At 39.9% G+C, this 24904-nt stretch overlaps 1 protein-coding gene and 1 long non-coding RNA gene across 17 annotated transcripts in view; one reads left to right on the top strand and one right to left on the bottom strand.

The window, feature by feature from the left end:
- F11-AS1 (F11 antisense RNA 1) overlaps positions 1-4646 on the top strand; it is a 214961-nt gene extending 210315 nt beyond the window's left edge. The window contains exons 3-4 of the long non-coding RNA NR_033900.1: positions 1742-2316; positions 4478-4646. This is a non-coding gene — a long non-coding RNA (F11 antisense RNA 1). The remainder of the gene's footprint in view (positions 1-1741; positions 2317-4477) is intronic.
- On the bottom strand, positions 34-24555 carry F11 (coagulation factor XI). 16 transcript variants are annotated; one of them, NM_001440590.1, is made up of 15 exons: positions 24449-24555; positions 23553-23608; positions 18973-19135; positions 17567-17673; positions 16469-16628; positions 14848-14957; positions 14354-14513; positions 10623-10732; positions 10359-10473; positions 10164-10270; positions 6484-6652; positions 4931-5106; positions 4234-4329; positions 2921-3060; positions 34-2291 (listed from the first exon to the last, which is right to left on the bottom strand). In NM_001440590.1, the coding sequence occupies exons 2-15, from the start codon at positions 23605-23607 to the stop codon at positions 2130-2132; spliced, it is 1830 nt and encodes a 609-aa protein (NP_001427519.1). In that variant the 5' UTR covers position 23608; positions 24449-24555; the 3' UTR covers positions 34-2129. The 16 variants fall into 16 exon arrangements, with proteins under 16 accessions (NP_001427519.1, NP_001427522.1, NP_001427525.1 ...); XM_005262821.5 differs by having other exon boundaries at positions 1063-2291; positions 10164-10273; positions 10359-10521; NM_000128.4 differs by having other exon boundaries at positions 1063-2291; positions 10359-10521.

Here is a 24904-nt window from a genome sequence, read left to right as displayed (position 1 = left end):
GGTGCTACGCAGTGTGTAGAATGTGCACTCTTCTGGTACAGAAGAGGAGATCTCCTCATTGTATATTTTATATCTTATAGAACTTTCATTAATGAATCATAGGAATATACCAGCTCTTCAAAAATTAAGACATTATACAAAGTGAAATACTAAAAACAGAAATATGTGTTTTTCTCAAATAATATGCTTCTCAGGAAAGACTTTACAGAAACATCTCTTCTTATCCGAAATTACATCCAAACCCTTTTTTTGTGTGAAGTGTTGCTTCCAGTCTACTAAGGTAATAAGCAAGTAACAAGATAGTATTGTTTGATACTCTTGAACGCACTCTGATTTTCAATTCCAATTTTGTTTGAACCTGTCAGCATTTTGGATCTGGCCCCGTCATGTCCTACCGTCATTTTATTCTTTTGGGAACCTGTCAGCATTTTTGATCTGGCCCCGTTATGTTCTACTGTCATTTTGCTCTTTTGGGTTTTTTGTTTGTTGTTGTTTTTGTTTTGCCTTTGTCAGGACAAATTCCTTTGTATCCCAGTCTTTGAACTTGGTGAAAAATGTCCTTCTTCCTTTCTTATCTCATAGAATCTGGTGCAGCCACTCATTTCAGCTTGAACCTATATATTTTGTGTGATTATTTTATTTTGTTGCTCATGTTAACTAGAGTATAATCTTCATGAAGCCAGGATATATGTTTGCTCACCACTGTATCTTCAAAGCTCAGCATGATGCTCTCACATAATTGTGCTCAATAAATATTTTCCATGGCCAGACGCAGTGACTCACACCTGTAATCCCAGCACTTTGAGAGGCCGAGGTGGGCAGATCACGAGGTCAGGAGTTCAAGACCAGCCTGGCCAACATAGTGAAACCCCGTCTCTACTAAAAATACAAAAATTAGCCGGGCATGGTGGCATGTGCCTGTAATCTCAGCTACTTGGGAGACTGAGGCAGGACAATCGCTTGAATCCAGGAGGTAGAGTTTACAGTGAGCCGAGATCACACCACTGCACTCCAGCTTGGGCAACAGGGTGAGACTTCATCTCAAAAAAAAAAAAAAAAAATCACACTTGATGAATTGTATAGTTGTTGGCACAGATTGAAAGCTATGTGGTGACAATTCAAATTCTAGGTTATTGAACTAGATCACAACAATAATGAGATAAATATTTGCACGAAACAGAAAATCCCAGTGCTTAGAATACAGGCAGCTGCTTGCTGAAGACTTTACTGTAACTATCCATTTGCGCCCTAATTGTTTTTTCTCTGTAGTATGGATGCAGTCTATGGTGATTTTTGTCAAATAAATATACGATCTAGCTCTTTGGGAGCCCATAGTCACAGCAGCAGCTTGTCTTAGGGAGGTTTGAGCATGCTCCCTATCTCCATCAGCCTCCCCTCCCAAGATATTTTAAATAAATATACAATCCATCACAAATCATTTTTCAGGAAAGTGTATCTTCAAGATTGCCCCTAAGGTATCACTTCCAGGTAAATTGCTGCTTGTAATCCTCTTCCACACAGAAATTCTGTTATCTTCACATTCACTCTTAGCTCGTGTCTACTCGAACTGATTTTTTTTAATATATATTTTAAAATGGAAATGACAAGAATTCCTGACTATTCTGAAAATCTGCCATTAAATGCAATCAATTTCTTTCTTTACAAAAGAAATGTGTTCACATAGGCAGAGTGTAGATTCCTGCAAAATGGTGAAGACTGTCTTTGTTCTCCTTTCTTCCAGTTTTCATCTTTCATCGAACAAATCTATTTATGGTGGCTTCTTTTACCAGTTCTTCTGCCTGATCCCCACTGCCACTACTTGGTTATTTTCTGCTATATCTGCCTATATAGTAATCTTCAGAAATATTGCCTTATGGTAATTCTTGGACTCCATAGAAGCGTGATCAAAAACAAAGAGACTGAATGCTCAAACAAACTACAACGATCATAGAACGGGAGTTTTGGACATAACAACTTGTGACAGTTTGTTTTCTTCTAGCATTTTCTTACAAACACCAAGCCCCTTCAGCGTGTTACTGTGGAGGAAGCATGCTGGCACAGTGAACTCAACACCCTCTCCCAGCAAATCCTGGGTCCTTCAGGGACTCCAATGGCCCCTGGGAACCCATTCACACTGCTTGAGTTTTCTCCAGAATCCAGTCCACGTACTCGACCACGTTGGTGTAAACACCTGGCCGCTCCCTTTGAGCACAGCCTTCGCCCCAGCTCGTGATGCCTACCAGATGCCAGACCTCATTGTGTTTGCAGGACAGAGGGCCTCCCGAATCTCCCTAGAACGAGGGGAGACAAGAAAAGGTGCACAGATCAACTCAGACGCTTCCCATCTTCAGCACATCTTGCTCAGGCTGATTTTGCCTAAAATGTTGTCTTGGCCCCTTAATATACTGCAGAGAACCTGGGTGCTTGCGTTCATCCAGTCAATCTCCTTGCTTTTGATTTCAGTCTAAGTCAAACAAATACACTGTGTTCCCTGCTCATTGGCAGAAGACTGCTTTTTAAAATGCATTAAGCGGCCCGGCGCGGTGGCTCACGCCTGTAATCCCAGCACTTTGGGAGGCCCAGGCAGGCAGATCATGAGGTCAGGAGATCGAGACCATCCTGGCCAACATGGTGAAACCCCGTCTCTACTAAAACTAAAAAAAAAAAAGACGCTAGCTGGGCTTGGTAGCTGGCGCCTGTAGTCCCAGCTATTTGGGAGGCTGAGGCAGGAGAATGGCGTGAACCTGGGAGGCAGAGCTTGCAGTGAGCTGAGATCGAGCCACTGCACTCCAGCCTGGGCAACAGAGCGAGACTCTGTCTCAAAAAAAAACAAACAAAAAAAACAAAACAAACAAAAAAACCCCAACGCATTAAGCATTCCAATTTGCATATATTCCATTGGCTAAGAACACTCTGTTACCTTGCAAGCGTCCTTCCCTCCTTCCCTGTAGCCGGCACAGATCATCTTATGGGTTATTTTATGTCCTCTGTATCTCTTCTGGCACTCTTCGTTGGTCACTAAGGGTATCTTGGCTTTCTGGAGAGTATTTTGTATTTTGTCTGAAAAAAATTTTTTTGGTTCGTTTGTAGAATAACCATACACAATACACATAAACATATATGCATACATATAAATATATATATATATATATTTTTAATTGAGACGGAGTCTCTTTCTGTCGCCCAGGCTGGAGTGCAGTGGTGCAATCTCAGCTCACTGCTACCTCCACCTCCCAAGTTCAAGCGATTATCTTGCCTCAGCCTCCCGAGTAGCTGGGATTACAGGCACACACCACCATGCCCAGCTAATTTTTGTATTTTTAGTAGAGACAGGGTTTCACCATGTTGGCCAGGCCAGTCTTGAACTCCTGACCTCAAGTGATCCACCCATCTTGGCCTCCCAAAGTGCTGGGATTACAGGCGTGAGCCACCAGTGGTGCTGGGCCACATATATTTAAAATAAAAATCATGGACGGGTGTGGGGGCTCACGCCTGTAATTCCAGCACTTTGGAAGGCCGAGGCAGGTGGATCACGAGGTCAGGAGATTGAGACCATCCTGGCTAACATGATGAAACCCCGTCTCTACTAAAAATACAAAAAATTAGCTTGGGGTGGTGGTTGGGTACCTATAATCCCAGCTACTCGGGAGGCTGAGGCAGGAGAATCACTTGAACCCGGGAGGTGGAGGTAACAGTGAGCCGAGATCGTGCCACTGCACTCCAGCCTGGGCGACAGAGCGAGAGTCCATCTCAAAACAACAACAACACAAAACTCATGTCTATATAAAAATCTAGAAGGAAAAAATGTTAGATTTACTTCACAGACCTTTTATAATTACAAGTATGAAGAAGACATTATTCCCACTATTGCGTGTACCATTTTGTTAATGTTAATTAAGTTCAAAAATTAATTATGACTCTAACTGGAATGACTTCCCAAGAAAGTAATTGGATAGCAGGCTAGAACATTTACTGAAAAGTGCTAGGCTTCACATTAAACTTCATTAAATATAATTAGTCTTTAAAGAGATTTAGTCACATTTAAAATTTCCAATCAAACATATGAGGCACCAGCCTCACTTGGGTGATTTTTGCCTCTCCATCTTTATTAATCCGCTTCCTGCAACTGAGTAGTGTGACTCGAGTTGTGCTTCAGCTACATGACTTGACAGGGCAGAAAAGGTTCCGCTCTTCATTTCTAGGATGGAGCACATATAACAACATCATTTTTACCTCTTAGTTTTCTGTACCCCCATCCAGTCACCCAGCAATCAGTGTATATTACATTTCTATCTCCTTTGGAAGGCAGGCATATGGGTCGTTGAGAATCTAAATTTAAAAAATCGTGGTTTAAATATGAGACGCAAAATATATCCTCTTTTCCAGAAGAGACTCTTCTTCCACTGTACATTATCTGTGTTTTCTTTGTTTACTATATTCATTTTTTGCCTTGTTGTCGTGTATTTTCCTCCCTCAGGTTCAGCACGATATCGCACATGTGCCAGGATGAGAGGGCGAGAGAGAGACAAGCCTCACCCTCACCGCTAACTCCTCATCCAACTCACTTTGATCCTGCACAAGTTGCTTAATTGTTCTAACCTTCAATCCTTCATCCCTAAATTATCTTTAATAAATTATCTTTAGACTAAATTATCTTTACTATTCCAAAGTATTATGAAATTATGTCATTCTATGCACCTGAAGAAGACTCAGGAAAACGTATCTCTTTACCCACATTCCCAAAATAAGTTTCAATAGCCAGGAAAGTGTGTCAGCCTTAGCAGAGTGAATGACTAGCATTCCAGGCCCTCTCCCTTTCATGATGATAACGCATGGAGAGATTGGCAGGGTCAGGCCGTAAGTCTAGTAGTGTTAAACATTTTATCCAGTTCACCATTGGAGACAACTTTCCGGATAAAATTCTCCGTACCTGTGTAATTCACTGTGGTTTCCAGTTTCAACAAGGCAATATCATACCCGCTTTCTGCCATTTTATACTGATCATGGATTATTATTTCTTGAACCCCAAAGAAAGATGTGTCCTCTTTTATTTCAGATTGATTTAAAATGCCACTGTAGACACGCAAAATCTTAGGTGACTCTACCCTAAGGAGCAAACAACAGAGGGAAAGAAATTTCCTTTACTAAAAATAATTCCCAGACATTGTGAAGTGTGTGGCTGTTTAATTATTACTAATATTTTCTGCCAATGATGGACATTTAGGTAGAAAAAAGTGATTTTATCCTAAGATTTTTCGGGATAAAAAACATATTCACCCTATAAAGAAAATCCATTATACACAAAAAATGAATGAGCACTCCCTCCGTGCTCCAACACACACACACGCACACACCCGCACACGCACACACAGACACGCACACACACGCACACTGCACAGACACACACGCACACACACACACGAAGACCGCTGGACTCAGTCTCAATCTCGCCAGTAACTAGCTGTGACAGAAACTAGGCTTTCTGCTACTCCATTCCCATATGTGACAGGTAACGGGAACTCTTGGCCTCACATGTGTTCTTGAGTTTAACATGAGTGTGCTGCAGATTGATTAAAAAAGAAAACCAAAACTAAAAAGCACACAAAACTGTGTCTGGAAACAACTCGGAGGATACTGAAGTAGCAAACGGAAAGTTTGGCCAACTTAACTTCCCTGGAATATATATACCCCCAGCTGGAGCCTTTTTGTTTGGCCAACGCTGAAAGTGACCTAAGTAAGGAATCCAATGTGAGGATGCATACCGAACTCGTTCTGTATTTTATTTATTTACTTAGAGATAGGGTCTTGCTCTGTTGCTCAGGCTGGAGCACAGTGGCACTGTAGTAACTCACTGCACCCTTGAACTCTTGGGCTCAAGCAATCCTCCTACCTCAGACTTCTGAGCAGCTGGTGCTACAGGCACACAAAACACCATGCCAGGCTAGTTTTTAAATATTTTTTAGAGACGAGGTCTCACTATGTTGCCCAGGCTGACCTCAGACTCCTGGCATTGAGCAATCCTCCCACCTCAGCCACCCAAAGTGCTGAGATGACAGGCGTGAACCACCACACCTGGCCACTTTCTGTATTTAAACACACACGCACACACACACACACACATATTAGAAATTTGATTCAGACAATGGTAAATCCTCTGTGAGTTTAGTTCCGGGCACAGTGCACAGAGCGAGGCACAGAGGGAGGTATGCTCTTGCAGGGAATAACATGAAGGCCCTTGGGGATGTGAATGCGGTTAAATGGGAAGCGGAATAGCAGGCAGTCAAGCAGCCTTGTACCTGCACCTGTTCTGATGCTGGGAGACCATGAGCTCTTCCTTTTTGCGTTTTTTACCACTGAAGCAATTAATTAATTTTGCAAATAAGACAATCTAATTGGTTAAAGTATTTATTTCCTAACATGCTAGTAATATTTTTTATAAATGTGTGAAGAAGATGAACTAATAAAAACAGCCGTGGTACTGACCCATAGAAACAGTGAGCGGCTGTTAATATCCACTGGTTTCCAATGATGGAGCCTCCACACAGGTGTCTCTGAGTGGGTGAGGTTGTGTGCAGGGTCACCTGCCACGGCCACTCACCACGAACAGACGCAGTTCCTCCAACGATCCTGGGCTTGATTTTGGTGGTACACTCTGCAACAGAAGCATTGTGATGAGCAGCTTCCTACATCTTCCTTTCCATCAGTAATTATGCTCCTTCAGGAACAAGAAGAAAACCTTTCCTCAAGTCAATAGTTTATCATGACCCTGAGTTACAGAGACTTTATAATCAAGCTGCCAAAGCAAAACATGCACATGAAAAATGGAATTGACTAAGTCATCTTGTAATTACACACCCCTAAGAATGTAGCCCTCCTTGTGTGGTACTACAAGGCTGTCTTACCCTCCTTCAAATGATAACGTGAATGGTGTTTTTAAACCAGTGGTTGTCAAGTGCAGTCTCCAGACCAACAGCGTCACCTGGGAACGTGTTAGAAATGCACATTCTTCAGCCCAACCTCAGATCCAGTGAATGAGAAACTCCAGCCTGGAAGCTCAGCCATCTGTGTTTGAACCAGCCCTGCTGGCGTTTGAGAACTGCTCTTAGAAAGAAAAGGCAAGCACCTTGCCCGCAGGCTGCAGCCATTGTCCAGTTCCTGCCCTGTCCCAGTGACTCTGCTGACCATGATCCCAGTCACTCCTGCTCCACCCACGTCCAAAGTAAGACTGATCTGCTATGAACTTCCTCTGACCTTTGGCCTTGTTGACAGTTTGGGATTCTCTGGGGTCCTTGGTACTTTTCAGGGACTTTGACTCAGGCTCATCCCTCTGTTTCTTTTCTCTTGGGGCTGCCTAGACAGGACAGTGCCCTCTATTTCTACTTACTGGATGCCCGACACAAGAACCCACCCTCCCGGTTGGAGCCATGGAACACAGATGGATGGGAATAGGGTGTTCGTAGACAGCAGTATTCTAGACACACACACACACACGTGCACACAAACACACGCACACATACATGCGCACACACACGCACACACCTATGCGACTCAAAATTTATGTGCCTGTGGGTTGCCTGTGTAGCTTTCAAAATGCAGATTCTGACTCAGTAACATCTGTGTGGGTCCTGAAATTCTTTCTAACAAGCTCCCAGGTGATGTCAATGTGCTGTGCCCAGATCACATTTAGAATAACCAGGCTCAGGTGCTCAGAAGGCTCCGCGTCCTGAGCTAAGGGAGGAGTCTAAGTTAACAGAAGAATCACTGATGAGAAGCCGGGTCCTAGAAGGTCCATTCACTAGTTTTGTGGGTGTAAAACAACCTTTCTAGGCCTTTTTTTCCTTGGTAGGAAAATGAGTGTATAATTCTGGGGCAGATTTCAAATAGGAGGAGAGGATGAGAGAAGGAGTTCGGAAGGAAACAGCAGCTAACAGCAACTGAGGTGAGAACGAGCACGATGTGACTTCGGAAGCCTGAACAGAGGCTCTCATTTTAGAGCCGGAAGGGTGAACATTCATTTTGGAGGGCCATCTATTCTGGAATTTCTGCAAGGTGGGAAGCGTCATAAAGGTAAATTTTAGGAAAATTAATAGGTAAATAGTAACTAAGATATTTTAGAAATAACTCAAGGTCCAGGTGAGAGGCCTTGAGGTTCATCCTATGCTGTTTCTCAGTTTAAACGAAATGCTGAAAATATGTGTTTAGAATCATATTTTGTGGTAAGAAATGTTTATTTTAATGGTGCTGCTATCTATCTTCAGAAAGTTAAGTTACATTGTAGACCAGTGACAGACAAGGCACCATAAATATCTCACGCAGCTATTCCCTTTCACATTAGGGGGTTATTTCATCAAATACAGCGCAGTAAAAACCTAGTTATCTAATTCACTCCCTCCAAAGTTGCACTGAAAAGACGTAAGACTTTATTTTCCTTTATCTTACATTTTCTCCTGTAGCTATCAATCTATACCTGGCATATTCTGTAACTTCTACAGGCCAGAGTCTATAAATCCAACAGAGAAAACCATAATGAAGAAGGAAGGGGGAAAATGCAGTCTGCAATGTATTGAGGTATACGTGCTCATTCCCATTTTATTAAACCATGTCAACATTACTTAACAGCAACATTTGCTAAGTGTCCCTTCTAACGCTTAGAAGTAGAAGAAAGACAACAGAATGGTGCCGAATGCTCCTTCTTGTCTTAGGGAAATTTATTGTGAGGAAAACAGAATGTATGAGATACGACGTAATTGACTTGCTTTTTAAGAAGTCTTGAGCCATCCAGAGATTTTCATCGGAGCGCCTCTAAGCTCTAGGAAGGCATAGTCTGTTAGTTAGGATACCAGTGTTGGAGGCAATATAACGTCTTTATGTTCTACAAAACAAGTTCTCAGAAATTAAGGATTGATTCGCCTTCTCGGTACAGCAGATAATCTGACACAGAATGTTTTTGTGCTTCTAAAACTATCACGAGGCAGGATTGTTACTTCCATTTTATTCATTAAATCTCAGTTGCACCTTATAGTGTATTGTAATATTGGACATTTGGCAATAAACAGTATAAGAACATGCAGCTTTATGTAAATCAATATATAGTAAAGCCATCCTAAGTTACTATGGTAATTTAAGCAGGAGTGTTTGTGGTGTGTTCTTTCCTGTTGGGGATTTTGTCCCTTAGAACAATTCTGTTTGCCTACAAAGCATCTCTCGTGACTATGCTCAGAAATTGGCCACTGGGATGGAAACACTGCTGGTTGGATTTTTATTGTAACTTTTATGTTATTACAGGTCTCGTGTAATCTAAACACTTATTTCCATCCTACCACACTCATTGTTACTAGTAAAGTTTTACCTTAACCTTTGCCAATCCCTAAGTCTCCAGAACCCTGCATGGAATCTGAATAAAGACCCTAAAAAGGAGGTGCTCCAGTATTTCTTGAATAGATACACAATTTTTGGAAGAAAATTAGTAATTTGACTAACCAAAGTGCTGATCGATAATTCCCTTACAAAGGATAATAGGAAAGATTACTGGCCTTGATAACAGGAGTGTTGGCAGAGTCTGGGTCTCATTAGGAAATGCCAGTTGTGGCTGGGTGCAGTGGCTGAAGCCTGTAATCCCAGAACTTTGGGAGGCCAAAGCGGGAGGATTGCTTGAGCCCAGGAGTTCAAGACCAGCCTGGGCAACATGGCAAGATCCCATCTCTACAACAAATTAGCCGAGTGTTGTGGTGCACGCCTGTAGCCCCAGCTACTCAGGGAGCTAAGGTGGGAGGATTGTTCGAGTCCAGGAGTTCAAGCCAGAGGCTGCAGTGAACACTGACCACATCACTGCACTCCAGCCTGGGCAACAGAGTGAGACTGTGTCTCAAAAAAAAAAAAAAAAAAAAGAAAGAAAGAAAACAGAAATGCCAGGTGTATAAATGTGTCAAATTAAAGCATATATTTAGTTAATACTAGGCAATGTACAGTTTAGTCAAGCCTCAATATTTACCTTTAAAACATGGTCAGCTTGAGTGACAGGAGTGAAAATAATAGAAAATTGCAAAATTTGTTATTTCCTGAATGTTCTCCCTTCTGTGGCTATAACTGACAGTCTTGATTGTGATGTATGAAGCATGGAATAATTCCTTCAGCTATATTTTTTCAAGTGACATTATACTCACCATTATCCATTTTACACAACCTTAATGTGTATCCAGAGATGCCTCCTCTCCCGTGAAGTATTTTAGTTGGAGATCCGTTTGAAGAAAGCTTTAAGTAACACTTGCCCCTGCAGTTGGAAACAAAACGGTATAAACATAATGCACCTCACAGGCAGACGGGACAAGGGTGTCTGCATAACCCTTCATATGGCTTACTTCCCTTCGTTGCAGGATGCTTGGGCTGGGGTATAGGTAAAAAACTGGCAGCGGACGGCATTGGTGCACAGTTTCTGGCAGGCCTCGTGACTTTTTGCAGCAACAATATCCAGTTCTTCTCCCAAGAAATCAGTGTCATGGTAAAATGAAGAATGGCAGAACACTAGACAGCAGACCACATGTCAGAGTGAGACCCTCCCTCAGCATGTATCAGCCTCCTCGGGGCTGGTCACTCTCAGCCAGAATGCAGAACTCTCAGTTTACCTGGGATGCTGTGCCTGCAGCTTTGTAGACTGAAACCAGAAAGAGCTTTGCTCTTTTTAATGCGTGTACTGGGCAATCCACTCTCAGATGTTTTAAGGAGACAAAGATTTCTAACAAAAACAAAAGGGAAGTAGAAATATATCATATCAAACACATAAAAACATTTTTACAGCACCTAGAGAAAGTAAAGTCAGCTCATGCTAGCACTTAGTTGTGAAGATTTTCCTATTTTGAAAGTACTCTTCATAAACCACGGAGTTACACCCATAAACCATGGAGTCACACTCCATGGCCCTTAGGTTGCAGACAAATTTTCTAACTAAATCACCTCCATAAAAATTTTCTGAGCTTGCTCTATTGTCAGTCTTCCTAGTATCTTCCCTTTTCATTTCCTTCCTTTCAACACTCCCAGCCTATCTTAAAGATTCAAGAGTCTTCATGCTACCTAGAAACCTCCTATCCAGGGTTGCAATAGGTTTATAAGGAGATGGGTGAAGTCCGTCGTTTACTCCACACCCTGGAAGCATCTTCCTGGAAAAGAGTGACTTTTCCTAAGTAGACAAAATCACAGTCTAGAGCAAGACTGTCCATAGATCTTTCTGCAGTGATGGAAATATTCTATGCCTGTGCCATCCAATACAGTAACTGCCAACTACATGTGGCTATTGGGCACTTGAAATGTGGCTAACACAGCTGGGAAGGTGAATTTTTAGTTTTATTTAAAATTTTTTTTTTTTTTGAGACATAGTCTTTCTCTTGTCACCCAGGCTGGAGTGCAGTGTCGCGATCTTGGCTCACTGCAACCTCCGCCTCCCGGGTTCAAGTGATTCTCCTGCCTCAGCCTCTTGAGTAGCTGGGATTACAGGCACATGCCACCACACCTGGCTAACTTTTGTATTTTTAGTAGAGACGGGGTTTCACCATGTTGGCCAGGATGGTCTCGTACTCCTGACCTCGTGATTCACCGCCTCGGCCTCCCAAAGTGCTGGGATTACAGGCGTGAGCCACTGCACCCAGCCAGTTTTATTTAATTTTAATAAATTTAAATTTAAATTGCCAAGTTTGGGCTTATAGAAGCCATGTTCCTATCACATACTGTATTAAAGATCAAATGTGTTATTCCTATTCTAGGAATTGGTCAGTAAGGTAATAAGACAAAGAAAAAGAGCAGTGACTAGCACAAAATTACAAGTGACAATGACATCTTTCTTATTTCTAAACTTCCAATGTCCCAAGGCTTGATCTTTGGACCTACTTTCTTCCCTCTCTGCATTTAACCCTTTGATAATTTCACTAGATTTTTAAAAAGTATCAGCTGTATATTGGTGACACCTAAACACAGATGTCCACATAAACCTCTCTTCTGAATTTGACTTCTATTTCCAGTTGCCAATTCAACCCTTTGCCCTAGATGAGCCAAGGGCATTGCTTCTCCTACACTCTGCTGCTTGCGAAATCCTCCACATTCTGTCATTGACATTTCCATCTTTCCAGTTCCTTGGGCCAAAAGTCTTGGTGCTATCACTGACTCCTTCACAATCCGTGGTCCAACCTATCAGCAAATCTTATTGGCTGTCTGCTGATAACACAGATCGATCTGGTCACTTCTCTCTCATCTCCACTCTGGTCCAATAGGCAAAGTTTTTGTCGATTTAGTTCACTAAATGGTATCCCCAGCCTTCAGAACAATGCCTGATACATAATAAGCACCAAACAAATTCTACTAAATTTGTTTAGTAAGTGATGGTAACAGATATATTTTCATGTGACAGACCCGGTGCTTCTGAAATGACAGCCTCACTCAGTGGAAAGTGAGGCTCATGTGATAGGCAAGGCACACAGGGCCTCCCTTGGCTGAGTTGTCTGGAGGACAACTTTTCATCAACAGGAGGCCAATCAGGCAAGTGCTGAGGGCTCTGAGAGTTCCAATTCAGAGATATATACAAGCCAGGTTTTAAAGCTGACTTAATTTTACGGATATTTGTTTGCTTGTTTAAGTGAATGTTGTCAATGAGGAATAGCAAGCTGGGCATAGTGGCTCAGGCTTGTAATCCCTGCACTGTGGGAGACCAAGGCAGGTGGATTGCTTGAGGCCAGGAGTTCTAGACCAGCCTGGCCAACATGGCGAAACTCTGTCTCTACAAAAAAACAAACATTAGCTGGGGGTGGTGGTGCACACCTGTGGTCCCAGCAACTTGGGAGGATGAGACGGGTGGATTGCTTGAGCCTAGGAAGTGGAGGCTGCAGTGGGCTGAGATCACACCCAGTGCAACCAAATCTGAGTGACAGAGCAAGACCCTGTCTCAAATAAATAAATAAATAAAAGAGGGACAGCAACCTTAGCTAGTGTACTTTTGATAATCAAAGAAATTTTCCATGCTGTTTCTGATGTCCTATGTTAATTTCCATTGGTAAGGAAACAGGGACTCAATTCTCAAACCTCCCTCCACCACCACCCTAACCCACTTGATGGAGACATTCATTTCCACCTCTCTCTCTCTCTCCACTTTGGGTTTGACATTTCACTGACATTTTCAGCTCTTTCTGTTCCTGGTTCAATTATTTTAAACAAAGCATTGGACTGAATTGTCTTTTAGTTGTCATGAAATGGAAATGGAATCTCTTCATTTCATTTAGAACTAGACAACTGCCCCTTTGCCAAGGTGGAGACCTCCAGCAATCCCACTACTGGGTACATAGCCAAAGGAAAAGAAAGAAAAAAAAATCATGTCACAAAGATACCTACACTCACATGTTTACTGCAGCACTATTCACAATAACAAAGATATGGATCAACCTAAGAGTCTATCAGCAAATGAATGGATAAAGAAAATGTGGTGTATAGAATATACTATAGAATGTTACTTAGCCATAAAAAAATCATAAAATCATATCTTTTGCAGCAACATGGATAGAACTGGAGGCTATTATCTCAAGTGAAACAACTCAGAAACAGAAAGTCAAATATTGTAGATTCTCACTTTTAAGTGGGAGCTAAATAAAGTGTACACAGGCACAGAGACAGTGGAATGAAAGCTATTGGAGACTCAGAGAGTTGGGAGGATAGAGGAGGGTGAGGCAGGAGAAATTATCTAATGGGAATAATGTATACTATTTGGCTACACTGAAAGCCCAGACTTCACCACTACACAGTATATCCATGTAACACAACTGTACCTGTACCTAAAATTTATTTAGGTGAAGTAATATTTATATTTATTTTAAAATTTACTGGCCGGGCACGGTGGCCCAACCCTGTAATCTCAGCACTTTGGGAGGCCGAGGCAGGTGGATCACCTGAAGTCAGGAGTTTGAGACCAGCCTGGCCAACATGGTGAAACCCCATCTCTACTAAAAATACAAAAAAAATTACTGGGCGTGGTGTCCCATGCCTGTAGTCCCAGCTACTCAGGAGGCTGAGGCAGGAGAATCGCTTGGACCTGGGAGGCGAAGGTTGCAGTGAGCTGAAATCATGCCACCGCACTCCAGCCTGGGCAGCAGAGCGAGACTCCATCTCAAAAAAAAAAAAAAAAAAAAAAGAGTCCTCGGTAATGTTGGGTTTGTGGTAAGTAGGTGGGGAATAGAAAGGGAGAGGGGCTAGAAATTCTTTGCAACTTTTATCCTATACTGACATTTAGAGTAAATTTTTAGTTACTTGGAATTTTTAATGATGGATTTTGATCAGCTATTTTTAGAAGATAACAAATTATCCTTACTTGTTAACTCCTTACCTTTGAGATTCTTTGGGCCATTCCTGGGAAAAGAAGGTAAAAAACAAGCAACCGGGATGATGAGTGCAGATTCGGCCACAGACAAAAGCATCGGGAGCCATGACACTGTCGATGTTGCTGTCTGCAAACACCGTATTAGGGAAAATGTCCCTAATACAAGCTGCGCGACGGAAGAACTATGTCAGGGACTCAATTCACCAGCTATCAGGAAAATTCCGGTCACAGTATGTGTAAATTCCATATTAAAAAATTTAAGTGTATCCCAAGATCTTTTAATTTTTTTTTATTTAGAAGAAAATGGCATGATTATTTTAAACTGGAAATTTAAATAGAGGATCTAACTGTATAGGACATGATGAAATCTATCACATGAAGAAGGTAAAGATCTTTGGGTCCGTTTCATCGTGAGCATAAGCTGGTATCCTGAGTGAGATCTACTGTAATCATCAGCATATTTAATGGTTGAATTACATCATCAAGAAGTCGATAATTACCCAGATTAGAAAGTGCACAGGATTTCAGTGAAAATCCAGACACCACTTTATCGAGCTTCGTTATTCTGGTTGGTGTCCCTGTTTGGGTGTGCTTCAGTAGACAAATGTTACTGAATAAAAAGAAAAAGGAAAAGTGTCTTATTCTTCCAACTGCAAGGAGGAAAAAACATGAGATATTAAGAAAGTCCCCTTTGGAGAGAGGACCTGCGAGACCCCGAAGCATCCATCTGGGAGGCTGAATGGCTGGGCATGGTCCCAGCAGTGTTGCTAAGCACCTGTGAATTGTGTAAGTTTATTTCTTCTTCAGTATAATGACAGCTTGAGAGAGTGACCACATGAAGAAGGAGAGTGCATGAATGAATGACTTCTCAAGCCCTTCTCATTTTTTGTTTTTTTTTATTTGAGACGGAGTCTCACTCTGTTGCCCAGGTTGGAGTGCAATGGCACGATCTTGGCTCACTGCAACCTCCGCCTCCTGGGTTCAAGCGATTCTCTTGTCTCAGCCTCCCAAGTAGCTGGGATTACAAGCGCCCACCACCGCGCCTGGCTAATTTTTGTATTCTTTTTTAGTAGAGACGGGGTTTCACCATATTGGTCAGGCTGGTGTCGAACTCCTGACCTCAGGTGATCTGCCCGCCTCGGCCTCCCAAAGTGCTGGGATTACAGGTGTGAGCCACCGCGCCTGGCTAAGTCCTTCTTACTTTTAATGACTTAACTTTATCTTGCTTAGAAACCTCCAATTTCTTGTCTTGCAGTTCACATTCTGTTAAGTCTTAGACATAAAAGCTGTCGTCTGAGCTGAGCTAAAGATAAGCCTTACAAGTCAAATCATGAATTTAGGGGTTTGGTGTGTGTGTTTTTCACCACTGTTGTTTTTGAAATAACTCGTTGATGCTTTGTTTGCTTTCTGTTCACTCCTCTTTGTGAATGTGGAGAGCAGAATGTTAAAATCCAATGTTAAAACGCAAGTATTAGTAATTTGAATGTTTTTCACTTTTCTGTTGATTCCAGATAAATGCAGTTTACTATGAAAATCTAAATCATCTCAAATATTTCTGAATATACAAATTAATAATCTATTTCCCTAGTAAATTTTTAAAGATGAGAACACAGATTTGGTTATTAGAGATCAGATAATTTTTAAATCCTTATGTGATAGATTTATCCTTGAAATATTTCAAAATCCAGTATGGAGCAGGATAAGACTTTTTACATGAGTATTTTGTCTTAGGTAAGGAACTGTTATTTAGAGAGAGAGAGAGTAGGTTTTTATTTTTATTCTGTTAGACTGTAACATTTTTTAGACTGGGAAGGGCACTGACAATCATACCAATTGCAGCTGTTTCAAAAGTGCCAATTTAAAAGTGTAGCGCTTTTGAAATTAGCCAAGTATATATATTTTTCTGACAGTGTTATTAAAAGATAGACTCCTTACCATAAATGAAATGCATCCAAATTAGGCTTTAAGTGTATTTTTCATGAAGAAAACTAGGAGTACTATTATAGAAATGTCTTTTAGGGGTTCAAAATAAATTCTGGCATAAAGTTGATGGCAAAAGCTTTTTAGTAAATCACGATTCTGTTTTTCATCGACCACTCGAATGTCCTGGGACTCACTCACCGATGCTCCAGGCTGGGAAACTGCCTTGTGGCGTACGTGAAAAAGTGGCAGTGGACGTCATCCGTGCATCTTTCTTGGCATTCTTGAGCACTCTTGGCAACTGAGCTGTTATAGTTTATGCCCTTCATGTCTAGGTCCACATAAATGTCTTTGTTGCAAGCTGGAAATAAAAGCAGAAGACATGAGTACCTTCCAGATTCTAGGGGCAATGACCTAAGCAACTGTCCCTCCTGACTCATCCTTTCAACTTTTTCACCCACCTTTCCTCAGAGGTCTTTCGTTATATTAATCTGCAAAATTCTTATTCTTGAATGGAAGCAGTAAAAGAATGCCAATGTCCTTCTTACACTGTAACAATTTTAGACTTGTAAATTCACATTTTGATTTTCTGACCTAGCCTCTCTTCTCCCTAACTGCACTGATTATTTCGCTAATTAACTGATTCAAGTATCTATTCACTATTAAGACAAGTGTCACTTCAACCTTTATATTTGCTCCTTTCAATTTGGATTAATACGTTTAATAAAGAATTTCGACTGGGCACCATGGAATCCCGGCACTCTGGAAGGCCGAGGCGGGCAGATCACTTGAGGCCAAGAGTTTGAGACCAGCCTGGGCAATACAGTGAGACCCTGTCTCTAGGAAAAATGAACAAATTAGCTGGGAATGTTGGTGCATGCCTCTGGTCCCAGCTACTCCAGAGGCTAAGGCAGGAAGATCACTTGAACCCAGGAGGTTGAGGCTGGAGTGAGCTGTGATTGCACCACTGCACTCCAGCCTGGACAACAGAGTGAGACCCTGTCTCAAAAAAAAAAAGACTTTCATTTAAGATTTTAGGCTGGGAAATAGAAAGAATATAAATAAATGATGGGAAGTGAGGTAGTAAGATATGTCTTTCTATGAGGTAAAGAGGTTTTTACAGTGTGTTGGAGGGCAGGCATGTATGTATACTAGTTTATACTCTACACTGAAAGAACTTCATTAAGGGGGTTTATTTCCACATAGCAGTGTTTCATTTCATAGCCTTAAAACCACATCCGATGTGGCGATATGTGTACATCACAGCTGGTATTTGTTGATTCTGAGAACATATCTTACCGCTTATTTGGTGTGAGCATTGCTTGAAAGAATACCCAGAAATCGCTGCTGTCCTATTCACTCTTGGCAGTGTTTCTGTAACACTGTCTTTCAGGACACAAGTAAACCTGTTTTTTTAAAAAATACATATTAATGAATAGGAATTTATGTTTTTAAAATAATGGATCTTAAAAGTCAGCACACAGAAAGCCAAAAAGAAGGAAACAAACTACTTTATCTCATGCCAAAACAAATATTTTCTTAGCAAGATTCTGAGTTTGTTTTTTACTTCAATATCCCTACACTTAAGAGACTGCATGTAATACTCCTTTCTAATAGGAACAAACAGGAATGTGTCAACTAGGACCTGTTGGTAAAATGCAACCAAAAATCTGTGTGTTTCTGTTTAGCCTGTTAGCTATACAAAATGATTTTTATATTTTCAAATTGTTACATTTTAAGTGGTGACATAAATACTTAAATAATATCCTTGGCTTTACTGTGGGTTTTGCCCACAAAGCCTAACATATTTACTCTGCGTTATTAAGAAGACATTTGCCAATCCCTGCTCTAGGTTCTGGAATAGTAAATTTTATAAGTTCTGGGTGCTACATAAATGCCTGTGAATGTAGCAATAATAAAGATGTTGAAAACTTAATTCTACAGAAAGGCTTATTATTAAATTTTCAAGCTCAGGATGGGAATACAAATGGTTGGTGGACTGTTTAAAATGTTTTAAACCTGACAAACCACCCAATGCAGTGAGTGACTCTTGGTAAGATTCTGGTTAATTACTATAAATTATATTTGAGGGAAAACTGAAATAATATAAAGGAATTCTTGTTAAATTTCGTATGTCTTTTGTGTAGGATAGTGCATGCTGAAGTATTTAGGGGTAAAGTGTCATGTTTTAAAATTATTTCAAACGGTTAAACATGTATACAAATATAGGTATTGTATATTGTATATTGCTGTACAAATATAGCAAACATTGCGGTTTTGGTGGTGGCAGGGGGATCACTGTACTGTACTTTTTTTCAAATTTTCTTTTTAAATATTTTATTTTTTTCTAATAAAATAGTTGGGAGAAGTTCCAGTTTGTTGAGAAGCACGACAAAAATTAATAATCGATAGAAAAGCAAAGTGTGAAATGTTTAAGAAGTGTAAAAATTGAGACAAACAGAAGAAACATACCATTAATATGAGACTATAGGAGAGGCTGGAAAGTCTACACTTGGAGGCATATTTATTCTTTTCTAAATTGCGTAAACACCATCACTTCTTTCTGTAACAATATTTCAACTGAAAGACAATTTATCTTCCAGTTGTTAATGTTAAATTTTATAAAATGTTAGATGGAAATGTGTTAAGAATAGCAATCTCCCTTTAAAAATCTGTCTCCTCGATGTAGAAACATAAGCATTTACCATCGGGTGGGATCCTCAGATGGTGATTCCGCCGTGAAAGTGAAGAGTAAACATCTTGGGTGGTAAGTGCAGACTACCTGGCAGTACTTGGCGCTTGGTGTGAAGACCGTAGTAATGTCCCCTCCTTCAAAGCAGGTGTCCTTCAACAACTGAGTCACACATTCTGTGATGTAGTACATGGCATGCGTTATGTTGGATTTTACTGGGCATACATCTAGTTAGGTGGTAATCTCATAAAGGCAAGGCAAGTAGCTCTACTTACCAGGAAATACGCCTGAATTTGGAAATCAAGGCAATAAACACTTTTATGTGAGTTTATTGAATGAACAGCCTCAGGTGGAAACGAAAATCACAAAATGGTACGTTGGCTTCAATGGAATTGTGCTTATGAGTGATTGTCTTGGAGACAAGGAGTGCTTTGAGGGTAATTGAATCATTTCAAGGATCTTTACTGGCAAAAGCTGCTGCTTTTTAGGATCTCATCCAGGTCTGGAACGAGCCTTCTGCTTTTTCCTTTCCTAATTGCGTCTCTTTATCCAAACCCTGTGCTTATTTGAAACAAAGACTTCAGAGTGATCACTTTCTGACAGCATCTGATGGCTCGGGGGTGTGATAACACACATCCTCACCCCATTGAGAATAATTTGGAAACCCCACCGTGGAAACCCCACCTTTTGGTGGAAAGCAATCTTGCTACATTAAAATAGTACTTTTAAGAAGAATATTAACTGATGAATCAAATAAATGTTCTATATTTAATAATGCGGAGTGGGCGCAGTGGCTCATGCGTGTAATCCCAGCACTTTGGGAGGCTAAGGTAGGTAGATTGCTTGAGCTGAGGAGTTCAAGACCAGCCTGGGCAACATGGCAAGACCCTGTCTCTATAAAAAATACAAAAAAAAAAAAAAATACTAGCTGGGCATGGTTGTTTCCACCTGTAATCCCAGCTACTCGGGAGGCTGAGGTAGGAGGATCTCCTGAGCCTGGGAGTTTGAGGCTGCAGTGAGCTGTGATTTTACCACTGCAATCCAGCCTGGGCGACAGAGCAAGACCCAGTTTCTCTCTCACTCTCTCTCATGTGCACATGCGCACACACGTGTTCTGTGTGTGTGTGTGTGTGTGCATCATGCACTAATTTCCTTAGAATATATCCCCCTCCTAATTGGATTATTTAATTTTACAAGACAAATTGATTTTCAATATGCCACTAGATGGGAGGATGGGAGTGGGGTGAGCGTTGAAAAATTACCTGTTGGAGGCTGTGTTCACTACTTGGGTGATGGGTACACCAAAAGCCGGCACTTCACCGCCGCATAATATATGTATGTAAGAAATCTGCACTTACACCCCCTAAACATATAAACATTTAAAAATTTTTGGAAAACAATTTTGGAAAAAAACTCTGCACACGTTGAGTACAGATACAATTTTTTAAAAAATATTTCACGTCAAGGTTGTTTGAGTGCATGGATGTGGAACACATGGAACACATGCTGCTTCTAGTGTCAGTAAAAACTAGTTCATCTGCTTTTGCGAACGAGCAAGTGCTTGCTGTTGTATATTGACGTTGTATCGAGACTTCTTACTCATTTAATTAATTGGCTCAAATAATTTATGTGATGGTTAATTTTGGATTTTTCTAGGTACTCAATCACATCATCTGTGAAAAACGAGAGCTTATGTTCCTCCTAATCGTTTTCCTTTTATTTCCCTTCCTTACCGCACCAACGAGTACCTCCAGTCAAGAGTAAATGGAAATAATGGGAAGTATTCTTGTCCTATTCTCAATCCCTTGGGAAAGCTTTCAATATTCCGCTATTACGTATTATGTTTCTTGAAGATTTTTGGTTTGGATTTTTGTTTGCTTTTGTTTAAAATATCGTTTAATAGCTGATGAAAGTTCTCTTCCATTTCCAGTTTATTTAAAGTTTTGATCATTAATAGAATTTTAGCAAGCATTTTTCGGCACATATTAACATTTAAAATTATTTTTATTTTTTATTATGACAGATAGCATACCATGTGCCATGTAGCCATCTTGAGTGTACAGTTCTGTGGCACTAAGGGTATTTACATTGCTGTGCAACCATCAGCACCATCCACCTCCAGAACTTTTCAACTTCGCCAGCTGATGCTCTGTGCCCATTAAACACCAACCCTCAGCCCTTCCCCTGGCCCCTCGGCCCCTGGCAACCTCTGTTCTAATTTCCGTCTTGATGAAATTGACTACCCTAAGTACCTCCTATCAGTGAGATCCCACAGTATTTGTTCTTTTGTGACTGGCTTATTTCACTTAGCGTAATGTCCTCAAGGTTCATCCATGTCATAGCATGTGTCAGAATTTCCTTTCTTTTTAGGGTTGAGTAATATTCCTTTGTATGTATGTACCACACTTTATCCAGTCACCTGTTGATAAACACATGGGCTGCTTCCACCTTTGGGTTAGTGTGAATAATGCTGCTATGAGATGGGTGTACAAGTATATCTGTGTGAGTTCCTGCTTTCCCTTCTTTTTTTTCGGTATGTACCCCGAAGTCACACATCTATTGATTTTTGAATGTTAAATCAACTTTTCATTCCTGGAATAAACCCAACTTTGTCACAATATCACAATGTAATCATCCTTTAATTTTTTTAACAATCTACTGGGTTAAGTTGGATAATATTTTGTTTAGGACATTTGTACATATGTTCATAAGATAAAAGACCTGTGACTTTTTTTCCTCAGAATTTTCCTATCAGATTTTGGTGTCAAGATTACCCTGACCTTATAAAATGGGCTAGAAAGGGGTTATGTTGACCTCTCAAATATGTGTGTCTTCCATTTAATTAATTTCTGCGATTTCTTCTTTCTGCCTTCTAATTTCTTAGCACTTAAGTTGCTATTCTCTATCTTCTTGTCATCTTATATCATTAATTTTTCCCTTTTCTGTATTCTAATGTATACATGTAAATCTATACATTTGATCTCAACACTGATTCGGTTACATCTCAAAGTTTTGATATACTGTACTTTCATTATTGTACAATTCCTTTTCTAATTACCATTGTGATTTCATCTCTGATTCATCTTAATCTAAAAAGGTATAAATACTCAATTTTCAAACATTTGCAGATTTTCAATTCCCTTTTTATTATTATTCTAGCTCCCATTCACGGTGATTATAAATACTCAATTTTCAAACGTTTGCAGATTTTCAATTCCCTTTTTATTATTATTCTAGCTCCCATTCACGGTGATTGAATAACATGATCAGTATAATTTTAACCCCTTAAAATTTGTTGAGCCTTGTTTCAGAGGCTTGTGTGTGGTCAATATTTGTAAATGTTCCATGTGCATGTATAAAGGACCTAAATATGTACACTATCATTCCTTGATATCTATGAGGGATTGGCTGCCAGACCTCCTGCAGATACCAAAATCCATGAACGCTCAAGTCCCTGATAGAAAATGGCATAGTATTTACATATAACCTACTCACAGCCTCCTGTGTACTTTAAATCATCTCTAGATTACTTATAATACCTAGTACAATGTAAATACTATGCAAATTGTTGTTATACTGTGTTGTTTCGGGAATAATGACAAGAAAAAACTCTGCACATGTTGAGTGCAGATATAATTTTTTTTAAAAAATTTCACTTCAATGTTGTTTAAATCCATGGATGTGGAACCCCTGATTCAGGGTCAATTGTTTATGTAGTTATTGGGTCCAGTGTTCAAAATATATCAAATTATTTAGCGCTGACATATTTATCAATGAAATAACAATACAATTTCCAGATAATTATAACAAAGGAATATTATAACCTGAGCAGTAGTCTTGTCACAGAGAAAATTGAAATTATGAGCTGTGTAATTTAATATATTAAGTGGAATTTACTTTTAATATCTTCACCTAGGTTTGCCTTTTTTCACATAGGCCAGCAAAAAGAATTTACTATGCTTAAAATGCTAGCAATAGTATCAGAAATTAAATATAACATGTAGACATAAGCTATTTTTCTAAAGGAATGCTTCAGCTTTCATTTTAAATAAAGAATGGTCATGGAACTAAACAATACCTGTACTGATATATCCTACTTAATATTGGCTAAGTAATTTATAAACAAATTTAGCAGATGTGACATAGGGTGGAGAATTAACAGGGTAGTTAAATTATTGAAATGCATAAACTGTGTATGAATAGTTACATAACATTTTTCAGTACAAAATTCCTATTTTATGTGTGTGTGTATGTTCCATTGAACTGACTGCTTTATGAAAAACCAACTAATTAGTGAGGCAAATCAAGATTTCTTCTTTTTAATATTGCTTTTAAATATCATTTAAATGAATGATGTATGTAGGCATGGATGTAGATATGGTACACATATAGACACAGATTCCTACCAGTACAAACAATTTTTTCACCTCAATTCCTACCCTGCTTTGAAAACCTCTGGAGCCTCAGGCAGGAAGTTAATAAAAACATTTTATTTCCTTCCCGGCATAAATGGTGTGGGATTCTCCCACATGTGTGGAGATTGCAGTGTGATTTCCCTCTCCCAGCCCATAGTTAAGATAACACTCTACTTACCACCAGAAACTGAAGTAAATAAAATGAAATGTACCACTTGATATAAGAAAATCATCCTACAATGAGAAAAAGGTGCATGCTTTTAGAACATAAAATGTAAATTTATAATTAGTTTACTGACACTAAGACTTACAAGAAATAGGGAGAGAGGGGAGTAGTTAATTCAATAGCATTCACAGTGTTCTCATTATAATGTTGAATTTTCTTTCCCAATCCTGGAGCATTCCTTAGTGTGACTGTGTGTGGCATTCAACTCTTACAGCTCTGCAGAAGCCGGAACCCACAGGGAAGCAGCGCTCTCCCCTCCTCCCTCCTTCCCCGCCGGCCCCGCCGCTCTCTGTGTTCAGATCCTTCTCATGGCCACCATCTGACCGCTCTCCCCACCCCAATTTTTCATCTTTGTTTCCTTTCCCAATTTTTTTCCTTTCTTTCTTTCCTTGAGGCCTCTCCCTATATCTTTCAAAGAGCTATGAATGATTTCCTACTTAGAAAATTTTCTATTTAAAAAAGTCTGTGGCTGATACATTAATCGATTGTCTTGGTCACCTATAAATCTATTTATCTCCAGTAAGCATTAAACAGACTGCTCTAGGAAAAACGGAGTCATCAGTGAGACAAATCAAGACTTCTGATTTTTCAGTACTGCATTTGGATGTCTTTTTAACTCGTAAAACGCTTGTTACTGAGTAGACACTGTTACTCTTCTGTTGTTCCACATTTCCTCTCAGATTAGTTATGGATATTAGCGGAACATCTCTACAAAGCTAAATCAGACACATTTTAAAAATCAATCATTCTCTATTGTAAAGTGTTTTTAAATTCCTATGATTTAAAAAAAGCATTTCAAGGCGTATTTGCTTGAGAGGAATGTTAAATAGTAAGTTCTGAAACTGTACCTGAAAAGACCTTGTTGGCTTACTTGCTGCAATTCTTAATAAGGGTGCTTTTCTTCCTCCAAAATGGTCTTCATCCTCCTCTGAATGAGCTTGTGTAGGAAATGGTCACTTCACTTTAATATTTACTTGTACTAGTTCTCAATGTTATGTAACATTCTCTCTCAGTACAGCATATTTGTGAAAGTCGTTAAAATCTTAGTATGTCAGAAATATACCTTGAGAGAATTGCTTGCTTTCTCAATACACTGAATTTATTTTTTTAATTTTATTTCGTATTCAAACAAGTGACATACACAGGGACAGATGTAGAACTTGATTTTGCCTGTGTGCCTGCTAGCCAAAGCTGCATTTAACCACACTTTCACCTGTCAGCTGTTAACCATTAATTCTAGCTGACCTTGAATCTCAAAGTCTAAAAAGAAAACATGGAAAGTCTAATGGATTCATTGATTTGCA

This window comes from Homo sapiens, chromosome 4, assembly GCF_000001405.40.
Source record: "Homo sapiens chromosome 4, GRCh38.p14 Primary Assembly".
NCBI classification, from domain to species: Eukaryota; Metazoa; Chordata; class Mammalia; order Primates; family Hominidae; genus Homo; species Homo sapiens.
Note: the sequence above shows the minus strand (reverse complement) of the source record. Positions and strands in the feature narration are given on the sequence as shown.